A 22,566-nucleotide genomic window follows, 5' to 3' on the forward strand; every position below is an offset into this window, starting at 1 on the left:
AAATGAAAACACAACATGCTAAAACTTATGGAATGCAACAAAAGCATTGCTGAGAGAGAAACTTACAGGTGTAAACACTTTACATTAGAAAGTAAGAAATATCTCAAATCAGTACCCCAACTTTATTCCTTAAGGAGGTAATAAAAAGAAAAGCAGTCTTAACCCAAAGCTGGCAAATGGAAGGAAATTCATTAAGAACGGTGGAGATAAATAAAATATAGAATCAAAAAACAATAGAGTAAAACCAAAATTTGGTTCTTTGGAAAGATTAACAAAATTAACAAACCTTTAGGTAGACTAAGAAAAAAAGAGAGAAGACTCAAATTAGTAAAATGAGAAATGAAAGTGGGGCTATTACTACCATATTGTACAGAAATAAAAAGGGTAATATTAATAAAAGTACTGTGAATAATTGTATGCCAACAAATGGATAATCTAGATGAAATGGACAAATTCCTAGAAACACACAATCTACCAAGACTGAATCATGGAGAGAAAATCTGACTAAACCTATAACTAGTAAAAAGATTGACTCTGTAATCAAAAACCTCTCAACAAAGAAAAGCTCTGAATAAGATGGCTTTACTGGTAAATTCTACCAAACATTTAGAAAAGAATTAACATTAATCCTTCTCATACTCTTTCAGAAAATCAAAGAAAATAGAATACTTTCTAAGCCATTCTAAGAGATCAGTATTATCCTGATAACTAAAGCCAACACTACAAGAAAAGAAAACTATAGACCAACACCATTTCTCAGCTGCTGGCAGGTTAGGCATTCACCAGTGGCAGTGACTAAACCAGCCTTGGTAAAAGAGCGCCCCTGCTGCTGGAGCACACTGAACCTTCATGCCTGCCATCATGGCTCCTGTGCTCATGGGTCTATTGCACCAGCACTGGAATCCACAACGTAAATCACTAGCACCTTAGAGTCTTCAGTAAGCATTAACATGAGAGACAAGGCTCCTTCCACTTTGTGGCCATTCTCATAGGCCCATCCATATGCCTCTTCTCCAAAATTGATTTCTACCTTTTCAATCTTGGTTCCTTCCAAGCTCCTGACCAATCAGCCAACCCATTTGCCACTGCTCAGGAGCCTGTGTATATCTGTATGTCATGCCATTTCTCCCTTCACACAGAGTGAACAACCAAGTGCATTACTGACACTGGAGTGTTCTCCTTTGCCGCTCTCTTTAGGATTACCCCTGAATGGGATGCAGTGCAATAGTGGTCCATTTTCTGCTCATACCAACATATGAAGCTAATTCATGTGTGAATGAGGGCCAAATTTTTCTCTTAGTGGTTTTAGAGACCTACTCCACCCCTAGATGAAGAGTTGAAAGAGAAGTACCAGTGTAATGTACTAGGTTACATGGCAGTCTGGGCCATCTGTTCATGTTATATACTGATGCCCTTTGGTCTTCCTTAAGCCAATCACAAATGGACCATTTCCTTTGTATAACAGATGGCTGCTGTACCTCCCAACCTTCTGACTCAGTTGATGTGACCCTGTTTGTTTTGGGCACCTCTGATCGCACAGTTAAATGATGTCCTGTAGCCAGGGCCTCACTCTAACTAGGTCTGCCCCACACCTGGGGCTGCTTTTCAAACCGGAGTCATTTTCTGCTGTGGAAAGCAGAGCTTTGCTCTGGAACCCTAAGGCTCTGCATTGCAGTTCTCTTCCTGGCCTTGCCAGAGCATCACACAGCATCTTTGTCTACCATAAATACCCAACCTTGATGTGATATACCAGGTCACATGGCCTGAACAGCAGGGCAGTTTGCACCACAGCCTGGAGGACCTGCTACAGAGACCTCTGTTGCTCTGGGACCTACTCAAAACTATCACAGCAACATTCCCAAATATAGCAGATACTGCCTCCAAAAGATGAAGAGTCCTGCTAGCACTGTGCCTAGAAGATGCAAGGTGCAACACCTGTCCTTTCCTGTAGCGGGGAGATCCCAGAAAGCCTCAGGCCGTTGGATCTATTAAAACTTTTCCAACATGGCAACCTCTGAATTTTTGTGGCATGCGTTTGATTTACTGGGATATCCAAAATACTTTCCACTTCCTATTCACCAGGTCTTTTTGGTATAATGTTATTAATACAGTGGGCCTGTATGATGTTCTGTGAAATATCCGGTCCTTGCCGACTTTGTGACAGAAAACAAAGTGAACAGCTTCAGGACGTGAGCAATCACAGGCTGCTGTCCTTCCCACCTAAAAGCAAACTACTTTTGACCCTTCTTACTAATGAGGATTGAAAAGAACACATAGGCCAGATCAGTAACCACAACCATAACCATGTAACAAATGCTAGATGATTTGTTGGTCTGCTCCAGTAGACTCTACATCTTGCACAACAGTTGAGGTTGGAACTACCACTTAAGTTTACAGTGGTCCACTGTCATTTACCACAGTCCACCTCATTATTGTAAGAGGCACTCAGATAAACAGAATGAGGATCTAGTGGAGACTATCACTTGTGCAGTCCGTAACTCTGATGGCTGATCTCTGCATTTTCTCCTGGTGTGCAATACTGCTTCTGACTTACCATCTTGGCCCAGGTGTAAGGGGTGAAATTTCAGGGACTCCCACTTAGCTATTCCCACCATGGTGCTGAGAACATTATGAAAGTTCTGTCAGCTGCTTTTTCAAATCTTTTAAAGCAATTAGCCAAAGCCAGTAAACACTACAATCATTACAATTACCACTGCCCCTCTCTTGTTCATTTGCCACCACTACTATGTAAGGCATTGCCTCACTACTCTGTGTCTCATCCCTATTCATACCTGTAGTCCTTATCACCATTTTACTAGTGAGTGAGTCTGTTTCAGAGTCCCATCCTGTGTTTCTGATCTCTAGGACCAATCTCAGTGTCCATATTTTAGCCTGGGTTCTCCCTCCAGAAATCAGAGCCTAAAACGAGGACTCATTGACAGGTGTCTTTCTTGAGGTATGATCCCAGGGAACAAGCTGGAGAAGTGAAAGAGAGGAGGCCCGTGCAGTGTCTAATTAAGCTGTCACTACTGTGGGCAGTGGGGTAGATCTCTCTGGAACCCTCTGAAGAGCTGTGTAAAACACACCACAGACTTCTCCTCTCAACGGACTGAAGAGGGGAGCTTTTATCCTGCAGCTTCTGTGCTCCGTTAGTCAACAAGTGGCCTTTCGGGTGTCCATCCCACACACCCGTGGCTACACATGTGCATGTGCCACACAGCAGCATCCAAGAAGCCCAGGGTGGAAGGCAAGAGATACACAGTGCAGCTGAGGCAAGGGACTGTGGGGTCACTCCTGTGGGGAGCCAGTTGCTATGGCAATGTCAAATTGGGCTGAGAAAACAGGAGGCTGGGCACAAGACACAATATCCTTTTGTCTTTAGTTTGGGGCCTTAAGCTGAAGTTCAGGGAAAAATGGGAGGAATCCCATTCAACAGCTTGTTACAGAAGACTAAGTGGTCTTACGTTATACTGGAAGTTATTCGTTACCTGAGATAAAAAGTCACCACTAACAGTGCTGATACCCCATTTGATTGGCTATTTGTGTTGTCATCGCACAAAAGAACCATTGTTTTGACAATACCAAACTTATTAGCCTATGAGACTATTTTATTTAAAGTGTGTCTAATAATACTTAATTGGTCTAAACTGATGTTTTTTCCCCAAACCAAATTCTTAGTACTAAACTTGGAGATTCAAATCACATATAACTTCATTACTAATTTCTTTCGTACTTATCCAGTTCAAATGTAACTCTTTTTGTTTTTAAGTTATTACTAGATATTTTGGAACTATGGTTTTTCAAAAGTTCCACTTTTCAATTAATACTTCCTTTTTAGTAAGATTTAAAATTTTATTTTTAACTAACCTATTTTTAGTGAGATACAGAGTATATGCTTGTAATCTTGAATTCTAGAGTTTTAAAATGGAATGTAGTTTTCTTATATTTAGAAAAAGTTCTTAAAATATTTCTTGTGAATTGTGGAATCTTTTTCATATACTTGTATCATTTTAAAATATATGTTTAATTTAGTAATATAAGACATGAAGGCTGTACAAAGACTGAAAATACAGATTTTACTGGTCATATTTTTCCACAAATTAAGAGATTGTTTATGTAGTCATCTATGTAATGTCGTTACAAATATAATTACAAAGTTGAAAAACAGGTTGACAATTGCATTTCACAATATCTCGTGTAGAGGGCAGCAGAGAGCTTAGATTTTGTTTTCTCTTTGCCTGTAGTATGGCTTCCCTAGTCTAATTTCCAATTGCTTGTTATTGTTCCAGGTAAAAGTAGATAATAATGCCTAGACCAAAAAAAGTAATGATTATTCCTAAGCTCTAATTTATTTCTAAATTCCAAGCAGTTTTTCACTTGAAAGGGGAGAACAAGTAACCTAACACTCCTTTTCTATACATAAGAGAAACATCTTTCTCTTTACCTTTACATAACTCAGTTACGTTTATAAATTCTAGATGTTCTATAGAAAGAAAAGACGCTAACCAATCTGTGCCTCAGTTACGCCGTTTGTAGAAAGTTATACAAATAGTTGCTGTTGGCCAGGCAGGGTGGCTCATACCTGTAATTCCAGCACTTTGGGAGGCCAAGGCAGGCAGATCACTTGAGACCAGGAATTCGAGACCAGCCTGGCCAACATGGTAAAACCCCATCTCTACTAACATTACAAAAATTAGCCAGGCGTGATGGCACACTCGGGAGGCTGAGGCATGAGAATCACTTGAATCCAGGAGGCAGAGGTTGCAGTGAGCTGAGATTGTGCCATGGCACTCCAGCCTGGACAACAGAGCAAGACCCTGTCTTTAAAAAAAAAAAAAAAGAAAGAAAGAAAAAAACTCTTCTAAACTTACACAACTGGAACTATTTTATTATCTTTTTACCTACCCCATGTCTTGTTATAAAAAGGCTATAAGGCAGCTAATCTCTCAACCGTTTTTATGGTTTCCTCCTCTATAAAAGTATTGGCAATTTAGTGAATACTGCTAGCCTGGGACTCAGGAGACTTTGGTTTTAAACTTAGGTCTACTGTTAACTTAGGTCACTAACATATACTGAGCACCTAGTGTGTCTCAGAACATGTGCTAAAGGTTTTATATGGGTTATCTTCATCTGGACAGTGTCACAACAGCTGAGCAGAACAGAGTCATCAGGTCTGTTAAGCCACTGATTAACAAGGTACCTTTGGACAAGTTTCTTAAACTTGGTCAGTCCTAGTTTCCTCCTTCTCTAAAATTGAGATAATAAGTACTTCATAGAGTTGATTAAGATAACATGTATAAAGCTCTAGCACAAAGTAATTGAGATAATAAGTACTTCATAGAGTTGATTAAATAACATATAGAACTCTAGCACAAAGTAAGACCTTAAATTTTTCTTCTATTTTTCACCACCACCCATTAAGTTTCCTTATGAGAAAACTGAAGAGGATGGGTGAATGATCTCAGAGGGCCTGTTTAGTCCTCTGGTTTTATGCAGCATTGTGACAAGACTCAAGATTCTTGAGTCCAGTTGAACTTCCGCATGTTCATCATTCCTTTTTTAGATGCTGTCTACATTTAGACCCCAAACCTGCACATTCAAAATGAAACTAAGATTTTAGTGTTGGTGAGCTGGGGCTTTTGTGAACATGGCTGTCATCAGTATACCCTATTTGTTTTCTATTTCTGTATTTACATATAAAGACTTCTACCTTTACCTCTTGGGTCCCCAGCTGAAGGAGAGAATGAAAGATACCCCTTCTCATTATCTTGGCTCATTTCTGTTGGAACTAAGTGGAAAAACAGTTTCAAGAAAGACATCGGGTAAGAATCCCAGGAGAACTCCTAGCTGCTTCTTTCCTAACTCCCACTGCACATAATCCTTTATTCCCTTAGAAACTATGTGGCCGTAAAGTATTGGCCTTACTTACGCCATATTTTAACTGATGAAGCTAACTGAACCAGACTGCTGGGGTCTAGCCTAGGCTGTTCATATTAGCTCTGAGAATGTAGGTAGATCACTGTTCTTAAAATTAAGAGTAAAATTAGGAGTCCACAATCGCTCAGGTGCTTCTACTTTCATGCTATATGGAAATATCTTCTACAGTCATCCACTCTTAAGGCCAACCACATCACACATACTGCCCAGGACAGACTGGACAATAGAGTAGATGATGAAACAGAGCCAATCTCCATTACTTTAAAAAATAAACTCAAAGCAGAAAGATGAATTATTACCACATCTCGTGTATAAAACACACATAGCTACAGAAGGGCAGTGGTGGTCCTTCCTGCAAGAAGTAGCAACTCTCCTGCAAACCTTAGGCAATTACTTTTTATAGATTATTTGTCTTTATAAATAGTCTGCACCCACTATTCTTCTGTATTCACTCTTCAGCCCCTGTAATTTGCCTCTGTCTTTACTCCACTGAAATAGCACACTTGAGATCCTCATTAAACTTGTAATCACTAAATCCGTGGCTTTTTTCATACCCTCCTTAACCTCTTTGCTGTAATTAACATTTTTTTCTTCCCTTGGCTTTTGCTTTGTTTCTTTCCTTCTAACTATTCCTTTTGCAGAATTTTCCTTCCCTTGGCTTTCCTCCAAAGTTAGATCCTTGGACCATGTTCTTTTTGTCCAAATTTTCTCTCCCAGTCATCTCATTCACTCCCATAGCTTCGATTTTTATCTCTGTATCTGACTCTCCAGTCTAAATCTAGCCTCCAGCCTCTTTCAGGTTTTTGTCCAACATTTCCAACTACCAGCAGAATATTTTCATTTGCATGTTCTTCCACCGCCTCACACTCAGTATATCTAAAATGTAACTTAGAATTTTCTTTCAAAGCTTGTTCCTTCTTATTTCTTGATTTGCACTAACAGTTACCCCTCCTATTTAAAGAATTGTAGGCGTCTGTGACTTCTTGCTTATATCCTTTTCCTTCTTCCCTACTGGTCCTACTTTAGGCAAAGTTCTTGTTGCCCGACTGTGATTTTTGCATGATGTTTTCAGTCATCTTTCAACCATCTTAAACACCAGTCACATATATCTTATTACAACATAGCTCTCATTATCTCTCTCACCTATTGAGTACATCCATCTGTTCCATCTTTACGCACAGCCCGTGATCTCAGTGTGGGCTCACTCCCTTGTCCTCCTTGAAATTTTCTCTTGTTCAAATCTATGAAAAATATTACATTCAAGGCCGCACAGACATAACATCTTAAACCTCTTCCTGGCATTGTTCCCAGCCGTGTCTTAGCTTAGAAAACTACCTGAAGTGGTTTCTCTTCCAGAACTCCTGTAGCACTTATTAGCTACACACCTTAGTTTTGAATTTGCAAAAGCTATCTTCTGTTATCTCTTCATGTGGCCTACCTTTACACAATGGTCTCTTTAGCAGATATGAAGCCTATTTTTTTTTATTACCCAAGTATCTAGAATAGTGACTTTTATATAATAGATTTATCTGATTCTATAAATCCTCAGACTAGAAATATTTTTCCAACATACTACCATCATATTATAGTAGTTTATAGTGTAAAATTTTACCATTCCAAATAGAATAACGAATTTTGTGTTTAAAAGGAAATCTGCTTCACAGCAGGCCTGCCAAGCCAACAAAAGTAGTGTTGTTCCATAGAGGAAAAGACTTAGGCTAGAAATTTGGAGACTGTCACTGGTCACTGTCATTATTGTCACTTCACCTCTGTTAGCCTCATTTCTTCACCTGTAAAATGCAAGACTTTTTAAGCAGTCTTTTGACCCTGTTCGAGCTATATCAAGATCAGTTAATTCAGTCTAGAGAAGGACCCTGTTATATTATACACTTATATATAATATATACACAATTACATACTATGTATACAATATAGAGAACAGAAATCACCTTTGTTATAAAATATCTAGTACACAGATAATCAAGTTTTTAAAAAGATCCAGAAAAAATATCTACCTCTAAGAAATACTGAATTTTGAAATCTGAAGTAGCCCAGTTTACCCGTAACCTCATGGGAGATTTTCTTCTGGAAGAGAGGTAACAGAAGTGCACCTGCTGTATTTACCCTGCTAGTCTTAAGAAAAAGTGGGAACTATTTAAAGACTTAGATAATCTATTTTATAATTGTGAATATGCTTGCACTTCTGTAAAATAAAAGCAGGTTTCCTGGAAAATTAGGCTTTTCTTCATTATATATGTTGATTCAGCCCTATCGAATAAGAATTTCTATTTCCTTATTTGAGTTGTCAAGTTGTCCATACTGAACTTATTCCCATGCAATAGGGTTTTATGGGAAAAGTCTGCCTGTCTGTGACTAAGCACCAGAGTAGATAACGTAACAATTTGTTTTACTTCGGGAATGCATTTTAAATCAGGAAGAGAAGTTTCTGTCCTACTTGAACCCAGCTTCACTCTCCTCCTGGGCGAAAGCTGAGAGGCCTAGGTGTGCCCAGCTCTCAGTTAACTGAAGTCACGTGGTGGTGGACCCCGCCCCCAGGGCCCGGTTGGCTGTGGCCCCGCCCCCGAGCCCTGGGGTCGGTGCTTGCTGCCTGCGGCTCTCAGAAGCCTCTGCTCCACCGCGGCGAGAGGCATGGGCACGTGGCTGCCGAGGGTGGCCGAGCTCTGGGAAGAAAAGCCCGTGTGCCTCTGCATAGCGTCGCTACAGCGCTGACTCGGTGTGGATTGATTGGAAAGGTTTGAGGGAGTACTTGGGAAGCATGGTGGCACATGATGAGACTGGAGGTCTCCTACCTATTAAAAGGACCATACGAGTCCTAGATGTCAATAACCAGTCCTTCAGAGAACAAGAGGTAAGACTTTAAGAGAAACGTTAGGCAAAAGGAATGTTTTCTAACTCCACGGAGCTTTTAAAATTTTTAACAAGGTATTAACAGTATAATTTTAAACTTTTGATCTTATTATTACAATGTATGTTCTTGATTTATGTGCAAGCTTGAAATGTGTTTAGGGACTGTGGTCTAAGTTTAAATAGTTTATACATAGCATAGCTTGAGTGTACACAGCTTTTATAAAAAAGGAAAAGATTTTAAATGTATATGTTACTCGGGTTACGTTTGTCACATTTCTGATGCTTAATATAATTGTTTTTTTAACTTGAATTGATATCATCCAGTCTTAGAAACTACCTTAATGGAGCAAGAGGAAAAGAATCCCGTTCTTGTAAATCAATGCTAGTGAACAAATTGCAACTAAAGTTTAGTCTGACCTGGTGTGCATTTTTCTTCCATCTGATGAGTTCATTGTATGCCACTTTTTTCTTCAGAAGGAAAGAGGCATGTTAGAATATTTAAACCAGTGACTCATTATTTTTACCCTCCTTGCTTTGTCTGAGTCTTTTTTTAGTCTTTATGAACATTTATCAATATAAATCAAATTACTTTATGCCATTTTATGTAATCTTGATTTAACATTGTGTGATATTCTGTTTATACTATATACTTTAATATATACTACATTGTCACTTATATGCTAGGAATAGTGTTCCTGCATTCAGTTAACTGTGTATCTCTTGATTGTGGTAGTGGTTTCCGTCTCTATACACACGTCAAAACTTATCTAATTGTGCATTTTAAATATGTAAAGCTTACTGAATACCCCAGCAAAGTTGCTTGTCATGTGTACACATACACACACCTTTTGGTAGTTAAAATAGCTGCCGTCTTCAGGAAGTACACTTTTATTTGGTGTGGTTTGGCTTTGGTTTTTGTTCTTGGTTTTGGTCTTTGCCTATGTGTCGGTTTTCTCAAAATGTGTAAGTATTTCCTTTGAGTAGAGCAGTCATCCACAGTCACTAGTGTGAATCCTGCAGCTTATCATCTGTTGGGCCCATAGAAGCTGGCCTTTGTTTAGTATCAGCATGGGCTGTGTTTCTGCCTTACCTTTATTTCTAAGTTACAAGCACTAGGAATGTTGTCACGGTTTTAGATCTAGTGACACAGCTCTAAATAATTTGAGTATTTCTAGAAAAGGAATTCATCCCATGTGATCATAACTCGTTTTTATCTTTTTAAAAATAACTTTTATTTTCTTTTGATTTTAAAGTTTTGCTAAAGATTTTAAGAGAAGATTATTTAACTATTATAACCCAAAGGAATAGACCCAGGTGCATACTATTTTTTTTATTCAGTGTCTTGATATGATTGGTTATAGAAGAGACCCTCCTAAAATATGTTCTCTAACTGGCATCATTAGAAGAAAAAGCCTTTCTACAGAATGCTGACTTCTCAACAGGATTTTTCCATGTCGTTGCAGTTAGCTGTAAGGCATAACCTGAAAAATACTTTAACTTATTCTCAACAATTTTCTGTTTATAGATGTCGAGAAATTTTTAAGGCATAAAATCTAACTACAAGTGGATTACTAACATTAATTAATACCCTGATCTGTGGACAGATTGCCTATAATAATGTATGTGACTGCCTGGCTAACCTAGTCTGATTAAAAATTAACCTAAATTGACAACATAAACTTATGTTAGAGAGTGTTGGACTTTTTTTCCCTCCAAGTGAACTTTAGCCCTGGTGAAAGGTTCCCTGCAGCAGAAAATTCATTGAGCATGTAAAGCTTGTTGGCATTTTTTTGTTTATTCCCATGGATTTTTGGATTTTTTTTTTTTTTTTTGAGGAGAGTAAGGTTCCAGTATTCGTATCTGTTCTTTAAGCTTCTTGAATTTGCCATAACGTGTTTCCAGGACTCCAAAGTAAAAAATAAACAATCCTAGCAGTGGAACTATGGGTGCCTTCCATTTGGTGGTGGTGAGATAGAAAGCGCCTGTTCCACTCCCCCTTCATCACCTCCAAATGCTGTGTCTGGCCTATCTAAATATTGTATTAGGAATCTGTTTTGTGACTGCAAATATTTAGGTTCTTAATAGTCAAATCAAGATTATTAAGATAGTTCATGTGGACCTCTAAAGAAAACTACTTTTGGTTTCGGCTCACATGGGCCAATTTCTGACGTGTATTCCGAAAGACACAAATTTTTGTCCCAATCTTTTAGGTGGCCTGTGAATGCCTAAACCATGTCACTTTTCCACAGAAGTTTCATGTATGAGTCTGTTTTCAAATAGTATATGTATCCTGAAATTAGTAGCAGCATTATACCTTTACATTTCATAATCACACTTTTCGTTATTTTAGTCATTAAAATTGTTCATACTTTTAAAATATATATACTAAAAGTTTGTTTTGTATTTGCCAAACATTCTTCATGTATGTCCTTTGAGTGAGGCAGGAAAGTTATCCACCATCATCCCCAAAAGCATGTGAAAAAGTGCAAAGTGCCCTCCTCCTTTCTCTCCCTCTCCCAACCTGTATTTCCTGAGTAAGCATCATACTTCCCAAGACATCCTAGATTTGATAAACTCTGAAAAGCAGCATTTCCTTTGTGGAGAAGTGGGATTATAGTTGGATTTTTAAAGGACTGTGGAACATATTTAACCACCAAATACCACTTGGCATAATATGCTGCCACCCTAAAGAGACCACATCAACAAAACCCGTGTTCGTTTCAGAAGTATGCTTTAGATATATTTACATTCACTTATCTAAATCTAAATTCTGTAGTTTTAAAATATCACATAATTTTGAGTTACCAGGAAGTTAGTAGTTGTACAGTAACTGGTCCTATAAAGATAATAAATTTTTATCATTAATTTGATTTTATGTGATAAAATAGATATCAAAAATTTATTTCCTGCTAACAAAATTTTCCTTTCATATTCACTGGGAAAAGCACCTTTCCAAAGACCTTTTAAGTTGAAATTAAATATTATATTTTCTGGGAAGTCAAATTTGTTATGCATGAAACAAGGAAGAGGAGTTAACCTCTGTTCCCAAAAAGCGGAACAGAACTTTCTGACAACTGCTTTGTTCCAGTGAAATGTCGGCATTTCTTACTCTGTGAGGTAATTCTATCTTCAGTCCAACAGGAGACTCTTTGTGCTGTCTTTACTAAATGGAAAGGAATGCCTGTGCTGGCCCCTGCACACGCGTGTGTCAGTCAGTCAGCACAGATGTACGTGGGGGAGGCATCCACACATGTCCTCAGAAGCACAGCGTGTGCCATCTTATTACATATCGCGAAGGTTTCTTTTGCAGTTAGTTTATATTCAAAGTTTTACTTTGGAGTTGATTATTTGGTATGAGGGGTTGATCTACAACTCTGCCTCTTAAAGCCTTCAGATTTCCAAATTCTTTCATTATCTACCAAGTTTCCTTAATAGTTCACATTCCTTTCTGATACATATGTATACATTTAGGAGCTTTAATGAGTCTAATTGTTTCTTTGGATATTCAAATTATTTACATTTCTTTCCAAATAATGTTAACTTTTCCTATCAGTTTATTCTTAAATAATTAATTAAAAAAAATTTTTTTTTACCCAAACCAAAAATGGTCAATATAGTCTTCAGTTGTTTAAAGGCATTATTTTTACTCATTTTCTACACCCCTTCCTTTTTATATTACTTTAGTCATGTCAAAGAATTTTTAGAAAAAGTTGCTTCTTCTGTTATTTTTAAATGATGTCTTATTTTTCAGTGATAATTTTAATATAATTTTAAATTATATATCCTCCTGGATTCTCATCAAAATTATTTTGTCAAGTATGCCACAATTGTCAGAAGCACAAAATACAAATAGTTATGCTCCATAGACATAAAGAATAGACCTGCTAGTTTTATGATCTGGCATTCTTCATTTCAGTAACTGTGTGAGTCACCTACTGGTATGCCTCCATTTTTCTAGCGATAAAATTAGAATAATGCAATTTTTGTAAAGTTTCAAAATCCTTGAATAAGTGATGTGTTTGCTATATTATTATTTAAAAGCAATAACATGTAGAATCATAACTATTTCTTCTCGATTTGTATATATCTTTCCTTTAAGTTAATAAATTACTGTTTGAGAGAGGATCTAATTTATCTATGAATCCCAGTGTTTATGTAGTAAATGGAAATATTCCTAAAATCTGTTAGTAATAGCTCAAACTGAGTATGTGCCAGGCACTGTTTCAAGCCATATTATTCATTTAATCTTCACAACAACTTCATAAGAGAAGTGCTACTTTTAGCCCCATTTTATAGATGAGAAAACTGATGCCAAGGGTGTGCCCTAGCAAGTGGTAGAGCCGGGATTTGTGCCCAGTCAGATTTCAGAGCCTGGGTGCTCTTTTAACTCCTCCCTGCCTTGGCTTCAATATTTTTCAGCCCATTCCAGTGTCAGACATGTTGATTGAAAGGTTGTATTTTCTAACGGAAGTAGTTAAGAATGAAATGATACAATGTCTGAGATTTGCTTTAAAACATTTAAGTAGGGACAAAAATGAAACAAATTGTTATACCAGACACTGTGGAGGCCCCTCGATAGACACATGGGATCCATTATGCCATTCTCCACTTTCATGTATGTTCGAAAATTTTCATAACAATAAGGCTTTTTTTTAAAAAAAAAAAAAGTTATTCCCTGCATTAAACTGAAAAGTTCATTAGATTTTAGGATGTAATTTCCTTGTTTGAATTTTAATTTTTTCCCCTATTGGAAATATTTGACTGGCCTTTCTTACACACTTATTTTTTGAAAAGTTACTGCTACTCAATAGAGTTCTTATTGTTTTGACAATGAAGAACAACTCTTACTTTCATGTTTCTGTATTTTATAATGTACAAAAATTGTTTTGTGAGAGGGCTTTACTTTGTCCAAGTTTGTATGAAATCATTGCACCTAGACATATATTTAGTGTCATCTGGTTTGTTTTTATAGGAGCCAAGCAATAAAAGAGTTCGACCTCTGGCTCGTGTCACGTCCTTGGCAAATTTAATCTCTCCTGTAAGAAATGGAGCTGTCAGACGTTTTGGTCAAACAATACAGGTAAAAAGAGAGGAGGAAGAGTAATGTAGTCAGCGGACTTTATAGAAGCCTGGAATTTGTAGTTGTCTTTGAGCTGTACAAACAAGTTTGCATTATTATATTTAAACATAGTTTTCTTTTTGGAATATGCTAGTAAGGAATATTGTTCCAGAACAATGTGTAGCCTCATTATATTAATTTGCATCTTATATTAATTTGCATCTTATAATGCATAGTCTTGGCTAGTTTTTATTCCCAAAAATGTAATTTTAGCTGATAAATATTTAAGATTGGTAGGTGGAAACTTGGATAAATTATTGTTTTCTGCATTGAGAAATTCTCAGAACTTTGTCTTTCTTCACTTTAAAAAAAAAGAAAATGGGAATAATTCTATTTCTTCCAAATCTTATTTTCTCTTTTGTTCACCTTTTCTTTTTTAAGTCATTTACCCTTCGTGGTGACCACAGATCCCCAGCCTCTGCCCAGAAGTTTTCTAGCAGGTCAACAGTCCCAACACCCGCCAAGAGAAGGAGCAGTGCACTGTGGTCAGAGATGCTGGACATCACCATGAAGGAGTCTCTCACCACCAGGGAGATCAGACGGCAGGAGGTATGCTGGCACTCAGTGTACATGTTTTCCCAAAAGAACAGCAAATTGATGCCGATGGCAAAATTAACTTGGATTTTTGTGTTTGAGCAACAATTCCTAATACATGGTGAACAAAACCTAATGATGGATGGTGGTCAAATTAAACAACTCTAATAGGGTAAACTTACCAAACATACGGCAACCTTGTATTTGAGATTCCATTCTGAATTACAATTTTCAGACTGAGTTACTTTTTAAAATGCCGTTCAAAACATCAAATAATGTAATTATCAGTTGTATATAATTTTCCTTTCTCGAAGGAATGACCTCTGATGTTTGCTGGATGTTTTTAGGCAATATATGAAATGTCCCGAGGTGAACAGGATTTAATTGAGGATCTCAAACTTGCAAGAAAGGTCAGTAAATAACTTTTTATCAGATGCCCTAGTTTTTAAAAATTACATTTCACAAAATCTAAAGGATAGTTTTCTTAACCTTTAGAAGTAGAAGAATAGAAAATATCTACTGGTGAATACATTTTTTTTAGGTGAGGTCTAGACACATCCTCAAATACAAGTATTAGTAAGAGAGTTTATTTGGGGATTAATACATACTAATTTATTTTATGTGTAGCAAACAGAATCCACGCTAGCTTTTATGTAATTAATTCTCTTTGTTTCCAAGTATAGATCCCTCATGTTTTCCTCACATGATCTCTCTGTGACACATTTCTCCCCTCTGACAGGCCTATCATGACCCCATGTTAAAGTTGTCCATCATGTCAGAAGAGGAACTCACACATATATTTGGTGATCTGGACTCTTACATACCTCTGCATGAAGGTTAGATGTGCCACTTAATTGTCATTAAATCTAAAGAGCAGCGGTGCATGTAATTTTCAGTCTAAACTTCTAATGTAGTGCTGACCTATTTTTTAAATAAACCTGTTAATGGTGTTTATGCTTTTTTATCACTTCAGATTTGTTGACAAGAATAGGAGAAGCAACCAAGCCTGATGGAACAGTGGAGCAGATTGGTCACATTCTCGTGAGCTGGGTATGTAGTGAGTTGTTGACCCCAGATACAGTTTCTTACAGATGTGCCATGTTGCAGTTTCTGATGAATATGAGACAGATTTGATCCCACAACTCTGTTCTACAAACACATAAGGCGTTAAAACTGAACAAATTTACAGTGACATAAGAAGTTACAGTCTGTTTAAAAAAAAAAAAAAACACCTTCATTAATGCTATAGGTTCATTTGTGTTACAAATACGTTCCTGCTTGGATAGAATTCCCACATCATGTGTGATTATCCGTTGCATTCTGTCATGTATGTTTAAGCGCATGCCAAATGCGGGGCACTGTTTGAGGAGGAGTCGCTGGGAGTCAGTGATGAAAGGCAGTCTCTGCCTTTATAGCCTAGTGAAGGAATAGCCAAGCACATAAACAGTCTCAGGGCTGGTGGCAAATGGAGGACACTCAAGTGTCCTGGGAGCACAGACTGCCAGTGTCTGAGGTTGGAGGGGAGTAGAAGTCATGAATCTTCACTTGGATTTAGCCAAATTATGAAAATTTGAAGAGCATTTTGATGATTGCTAAAATGCTATTCAGCTTCCATTATTATCTGCCAGAAAATGTCCACAGCTTGTTAAAACTCTCAAGAATAGCTGTACATTTTGTGTTTCATGTTTGCAGGCTTGTTAATGCACTCGGTCATAACAGGAACACATCATACCTTTTCTTTTATTACTCTTCAGTTACCGCGCTTGAATGCCTACAGAGGTTACTGTAGTAACCAGCTGGCAGCCAAAGCTCTTCTTGATCAAAAGAAACAGGATCCAAGAGTCCAAGACTTCCTCCAGCGATGTCTCGAGTCTCCCTTCAGTCGAAAACTAGATCTTTGGAGTTTCCTAGATATCCCTCGAAGTCGCCTAGTCAAATACCCTTTACTGTTAAAAGAAATTCTTAAACACACTCCAAAAGAGCACCCTGATGTTCAGCTTCTGGAGGATGCTGTAAGTAGTCCCTTAAGTGATTGTTTTGTTTTTTAAGTTTATACATTAGGCTGCTTTAGAACGTTATCTTCTGAAGATGCTGATTCACATCAGCATAGTGAATTGTTTTGTTGTTTTAAGTACCCAGTGCGTTAGTACGCTGTGCACTAAGCAATAAGGAGCTGTGTATGCTGGACTTCGCACATTTTGTATCTTAAGGGACAGGATTCTCATCTGATCTCACCTTGTCACCTTTGAACAAATCACTCAATTTGGCTAGGACTGTTTCTTGATCTATAAAATGAACAGACTGGCAGAATTAACTGATTTCTAGAGTCCCTTCAAGCTTTAAAGTTCTTCCATTCCATATGACATTTTTGCTCTGCAGGAAGCAGAATGAGTTAATAAACTGAAGCTGCTCTGTCAATTTTATTTATCATTTTCAGATATTGATAATACAGGGAGTCCTCTCTGATATCAACTTGAAGAAAGGTGAATCCGAGTGCCAGTATTACATCGACAAGCTGGAGTACCTGGATGAAAAGCAGAGGGACCCCAGAATCGAAGCGAGCAAAGTGCTGCTGTGCCATGGGGAGCTGCGGAGCAAGAGTGGACATGTAGGTGACTTTTGCTGCCGTGGCAGAGCAGCCTTCCCTCCTGCCTCTTTAACTTTTACACGTTTGTTATGAAGCAGGCTTGTAAAGGGAAAGTCATGACATAGTAAAAGAAGGTTGCCAATTTTAATTTTATATTACCAGCTTGATAAAGCCAACAAAGAAGATACCTTAAATGTCTCAGTGGAGAATCAGTAATACTTTATTTTTTAGTTTCGAAGCATAAATCAACTTGTTAGGCCAGGGGTTCCTGTCTAAATACAGTATTAGTTCCATAATGCTTAATAAAAAAGCATCCTTCAAAAAAAACTTCTAAGAGTTTATCTTATGCTTATGAAAGTGGTTTTTCGCACTACATAACAAATTTCTGAAGCAGATTGAATGAATGCAAATGTATTTTTTAAATGCTAATTATAAAAGTACCTGCTAGAACTAAGTGCAGTCACGGAATGGTATTTTTGTTTCATCATGCATTTTCAAAAGCCCAATTTATAAGTTGGAGTTTTGTTTAAAAAAATTTGAAATCTGACATCTTTGATTTTTCCCTCACGAGGGGAAAATTTATAAAGGTATAAATTTGTGTGGGACAAAATAGAACCATTAACATTTTACCAGCTTGCATTTTTAATCCCTCCTTCGTGTTAGAAAACTGTGGTATACAACGCTAGTGTTTCAAGTCATGTTGCTACTAATAGGTCTTTGTGATGCAGAGCATTCACTTAGCTGCTGCTTAATCTGATATTACATACCAATAAGAAACATTTTATTTATTCTGAGATTGGAAAAACTTTCCAAATAGAACATGCTTAGCCTTGAAATTGCCATCTTTATGGATTACTAGATTTGTCACTTAGAGAGATCTTCGAAAAATAAATCTGATGAAATTAATAATGTCGAGTTATTTTAGCAATATATTTCAGTCACTTAAAAACACAAGTTTCCTATTTAGCGTTTGTTTCCCATTTCTCCAGAAACTTTACATTTTCCTGTTTCAAGACATCTTGGTTCTGACTCGGCCCGTCACACGGAACGAACGGCACTCTTACCAGGTTTACCGGCAGCCAATCCCAGTCCAAGAGCTAGTCCTAGAAGACCTGCAGGATGGAGATGTGAGAATGGGAGGCTCCTTTCGAGGAGCTTTCAGTAACTCAGAGAAAGGTAAAATGCAGGCCTTCAATAATTTAAAGAAATAGAAGCTCAGAACTGAAGTGAATTTAGTTTTGCCTTTAAGAATTCTAGAGATGAAATGGCTCCATTGTCCTATACTTGTTACATCCATTGAGTTGTCCAGGCCTTCCCAGCTCGAACACCCGCAGGTGTATCTAAGAAATAATGCATAGGCTTAATGTATTCACATTGACATAAATAAATTGCCATAAATTGACAGTCACGTTAAGATTGTATGACCACTTTGTCTAGAATAAACCTTTTTTTAGCCTGATTTCTTTTTTTTTTCCAATTTTTTTTTTCAGCTAAAAATATCTTTAGAATTCGCTTCCATGACCCCTCTCCAGCCCAGTCTCACACTCTGCAAGCCAATGACGTGTTCCACAAGCAGCAGTGGTTCAACTGTATTCGAGCGGCCATTGCCCCCTTCCAGTCGGCAGGCAGTCCACCTGAGCTGCAGGGCCTGCCGGAGCTGCACGAAGAGTGTGAGGGGAACCACCCCTCTGCGAGGAAACTCACAGCCCAGAGGAGGGCATCCACAGTTTCCAGTGTTACTCAGGTAGAAGTTGATGAAAACGCTTACAGATGTGGCTCTGGCATGCAGATGGCAGAGGACAGCAAGAGCTTAAAGACACACCAGACACAGCCCGGCATCCGAAGAGCGAGGGACAAAGCCCTTTCTGGTGGCAAACGGAAAGAGACTTTGGTGTAGAGAAGGCTCTGTGTGTTAACTGATGGGAGAGACTGTTTGTTTATAAATGTGTACAGTTTTGTTTTCTCGTAAGGGGAGCATCATAGGGTTACTTTATACCAGTTGTAACATTTTCATTGTTTTTGGTTGTTCTTTTTTCTTTTTTTAATGGCAGCTAAAGATATACAGATTACTGTTAAATTGCAGTCCTTTTTTTTTTAAAGATATTTTCTTGAATTATTTAGAACATGGTAAGCCTGGTATTTTTTAATCAAACAAAATATTTATGAAATGGGTTTTCTCTTAATTCTGGATTCATCATGGCTTTCTAATACCAATTGTAATATTTACAATATTCACCAAAACTTAGAATTTTGCAAATGCTGGAATTCTGCCAGTGTTTCTTTGCTAAGCCTTGCATGCAAAATTTGAAATTTTAACATTGGCACCCAAAACCTACATGGAATGTATGTCTGGAGTATTTCAAACTTTACATTGAAACATAATTTCCTTGGAAAACAAACCATAAGCCTGAGGAGGTTTTTATCAACTGGAATGCTTTATATTAGTTTGTTTTTCACTGTACATTCCTCATTTTACATTCATTTAACCTGCCGATTATTTAATTTTTTTATTGTAAAGTAGTTTTTAGCATTTGCTTTTATTTTTTTACTTTGATGCCTTTTCAAATTGGCATGTCTTTAAAGTATTTTTCTTCCTGATTAAAAATGTGTGTGTATGTGTGTGTGTGTGTGTATATATATATATATTTTTAAATCACATTAATTTTACCAAGTGAAACCAAGCCATACTGTTTTTGAGCCAATTAAGAAAATTGCCATTTTTAAAGTGTAGCATTTCAGGGTAAAGACCCATGAAATGGCTTGATGTATTCTAGACTACTGAAAGAAAACCACTTCAAAGATTTTGTTGAAAGTTTTAGTGTTGTCTGAAATGCAAGAGGGAAGGTGATTGGTAGTGAGTTAAAAGAAAAAGAGAGGAAAAGAGAGTAGTTTTGTCTTCAAGTAAAATGTCTGGTTGTGCCAGACATTTCACAAGTGTGAAAGGAGATAGGAGAAGCTCAACTTGAGGGCGTGTAGTAAGTTGTAGAAGGCTCGAGGGGACGTGGACTTATTTGCCTTGGTTTGCAATACCTGCAAATAATGAGTTTGAAAAGAAACAATGAAATGTGTTAAAAATTTGACCATATTAGATAAATTTTCGTGGATTTAGTCATAAGATGGAAAAAGACTGGTGAATCTTTTATTACAAAATGTTTCTGTTAAAATGGGATCATCATCTTTGAAAGGGGGGAGGAGGAGTAAAAGCCCGATTATAATGGTGATCAATTCAAGTCAGTGTTGACTATTCTGTGAAATATATTTGGCCAGTGGAAATGATAATCAGAAAAGACTGTAAATAGATCCATCCAAATGATTTCTCTGTACAAATGAATGATACTATTAAAAAAAAAAAAAGCACACACATAATCACCCTGAAGGTTTCTTGCCTGGTGGCTATGTTGGGGGCATTTGGCAAAATATGCTGGTGTGGCAAAGGAGGTAGTGGTAAGCCTCATAAAAGTTAGTAAAAATTGTAGTTCAACCTTTGAAATCATTGATGAATCAGCGAAAGGTAGGTAAGTCTTGTGTTAGGAAATCTTTTAAGAACATGGTGTAATCAGACACAGCAATTGTATTGAAAATAACTGAACACCTGTTACTTTCTGGATAGGATAGTAAGGGTAGTAGTGGCAAAGGATCCTGATTAATTTCAGATTTTAATGTAAGTACCTCAGGTTCTTGTCTTTGGAAATTCACATTCATAAGTGTATATTACACCAATGATTGTGATCTGCAACACCAGAAAGCAAGATTTCTAATCATTTCCAGAGGTGTTGTATAGAATAGTTATTCCAGAGTTACCTTGATCAGCTTCTGAAGTTTAAGAAGCAAGTAATAGTTCAAGTGTTGTTAATGGAATTATGTTTTATTTAAAACCGTATCTTCTTTTGGTTCCCTCAAAGGTAAAAATAAGACCCAGAATCTGAGTAAATCTATTAAATGAATGTTCTTCAGAAATAGCACCTGTGTTTGAGAGCATTCAGTGATTTAGCACATTAGTTCTCAAACTTCTTTGGGTATCACAATCACTAGAGGTGCTTTAAAAAAAAAAAAGTAACTGGGCCTCACCCCCTAACATACCCGCTGCAACCCCATATACACCATGTTACTGAATCCAGATTGTGGGGCGTCAGGGTAGAGGGCTGATTGTTTCTGTTCGCAAGCATCCCTCCTAGCAATTCCAGTGCTGTGAATTCCTTGGATCAGCATTGAGTATTCACTCATCTATTATATATCAGCCCCCTTTGGGTAACTGCTATATAATAAGTCAACATGTATCCACCATATTCCTAGTTTTTGCCTTAACCTGTTCCGAGTCAGAGCTGAAGAGAGTCTAATTTCCCTGCCTTTTTACCTTTCTCCAGTGGGTGTGCTTACATATTTTCAGCAAAGAATAGTCTCTGCCCTGAAAATCTTCTTAAACTTCATGGTCCGTCTCAGGATGTGTGTATGCACAGTGGTAAGGGAAACCAGGTCATCTTATTAGCCATCCGTGGATCACAGGTAAATCACCCTGGGATCTATCAGGACACAACTGACCCATCAGATGTGTTCAGCGACTTTTGTGGTAGCTGGGTCTACTTTGTATTTAATGCTTTTCTCAGTATGCAGACAGCATGATATTTGTTTCAAATATATATGGCTATAATGCTAGTAATTAATTTTACAAGCATCAGAAAATGCCTAGTTAAGGCCCCCATCTGTAAATGTTGATGACAGAGGCAGAAAGACCTAAAGTGGCAATGTTACAGTTTGCCTTCATCATATTCCTCACTTGAAATTCCTGCCTGTCGCTAGAGCTGAAACTGGCTAAGAAGTATACACTTAGGAGTCCTAGGGGTTCAAAGTAGATGATATCTCAGCCTTCAAATGGGCTTTTTTCTTCTTTTTTTTTTTTTTTTGAGATGGAGTTTTGCTTTTGTTTACCAGGCTGCAGTGCAATGGCGCAAACTCAGCTCACTGCAACCTCTGCCTCCTGGGTTCAACTGATGCTCCTGCCTCAGCCTCCCAAGTAGCTGAAATTACAGACACGTGCCACCACGCCTGGGTAATTTTGTATTTTCAGTAGAGACAGGGTTTCACCATGTTGGCCAGGCTGGTCTTGAACTCCTGACCTTAGGTGATAAGCCCACCTCTGCCTCCCAAAGTGCTGAGATTACAGGCATGAGCCATTGTGCCCAGCCCAAATGGGCTTTCTAAAATTGGCATGAGAGAACACTGATGAAAGAGTAATACCCCTTTGTCCACGGAATCTAACTCCGGTGCGAGGAATGTCCTCAAGAATAAATCTCCCTAGACCCAGAGAAGTTTTCATTTTGTCTGCACTCAGCAATCCCCAGGACCAACTGCAAGACCAAAGACTTCTCCCGGAGGGACGGTTATTCGAGTCCAGTGGTACTTACGCTTACAGCATGCATATTTGAGGTTCTAATGACAGCCAGGACCCTCTCCCCAGGAAAATGTATGTACATCCACATCCACATGACTTTGGAACTTCAGGGATATTCCCCAGACCACCCTG

General features: G+C 37.8%; 1 protein-coding gene across 3 annotated transcripts in view, besides 2 other annotated features; it reads left to right on the forward strand.

Annotated features, from left to right (window-relative positions):
* Positions 1-21,004, forward strand: part of NET1 (neuroepithelial cell transforming 1) — a 46,500-nt gene extending 25,496 nt beyond the window's left edge. The window contains 10 exon segments of one of the 3 annotated variants that reach the window (NR_073040.1): positions 8,499-8,806; positions 13,778-13,885; positions 14,306-14,473; positions 14,773-14,868; positions 15,198-15,294; positions 15,432-15,508; positions 16,213-16,470; positions 16,896-17,066; positions 18,035-18,221; positions 18,536-21,004. Coding sequence is in view for 2 of the 3 variants with exons in the window: in NM_005863.5 (NP_005854.2) it covers positions 8,714-8,806; positions 13,778-13,885; positions 14,306-14,473; positions 14,806-14,868; positions 15,198-15,294; positions 15,432-15,508; positions 16,213-16,470; positions 16,896-17,066; positions 18,035-18,221; positions 18,536-18,942 (1,629 nt within the window). In the remaining variant the exon portion in view is untranslated. 3 annotated transcript variants of the gene reach the window in all.
* Positions 4,202-4,371: an enhancer, noted in NCBI's record as "experimental_13225 CRE fragment used in MPRA reporter constructs". NCBI's record gives its function as "activates a minimal promoter by MPRAs in K562 erythroleukemia cells, with activity observed for both the introgressed and non-introgressed 10:5484302 variant alleles {active_cell/tissue: K562}" and the evidence as "EXISTENCE:reporter gene assay evidence [ECO:0000049][PMID:34662402]".
* Positions 8,366-8,595: a silencer, noted in NCBI's record as "silent region_2080". NCBI's record gives its function as "represses an Ori minimal core promoter by ATAC-STARR-seq in GM12878 lymphoblastoid cells {active_cell/tissue: GM12878}" and the evidence as "EXISTENCE:reporter gene assay evidence [ECO:0000049][PMID:35858748]".

Source organism: Homo sapiens, chromosome 10 (assembly GCF_000001405.40).
Source record: "Homo sapiens chromosome 10, GRCh38.p14 Primary Assembly".
In the NCBI taxonomy this organism is placed as follows: domain Eukaryota; kingdom Metazoa; phylum Chordata; class Mammalia; order Primates; family Hominidae; genus Homo; species Homo sapiens.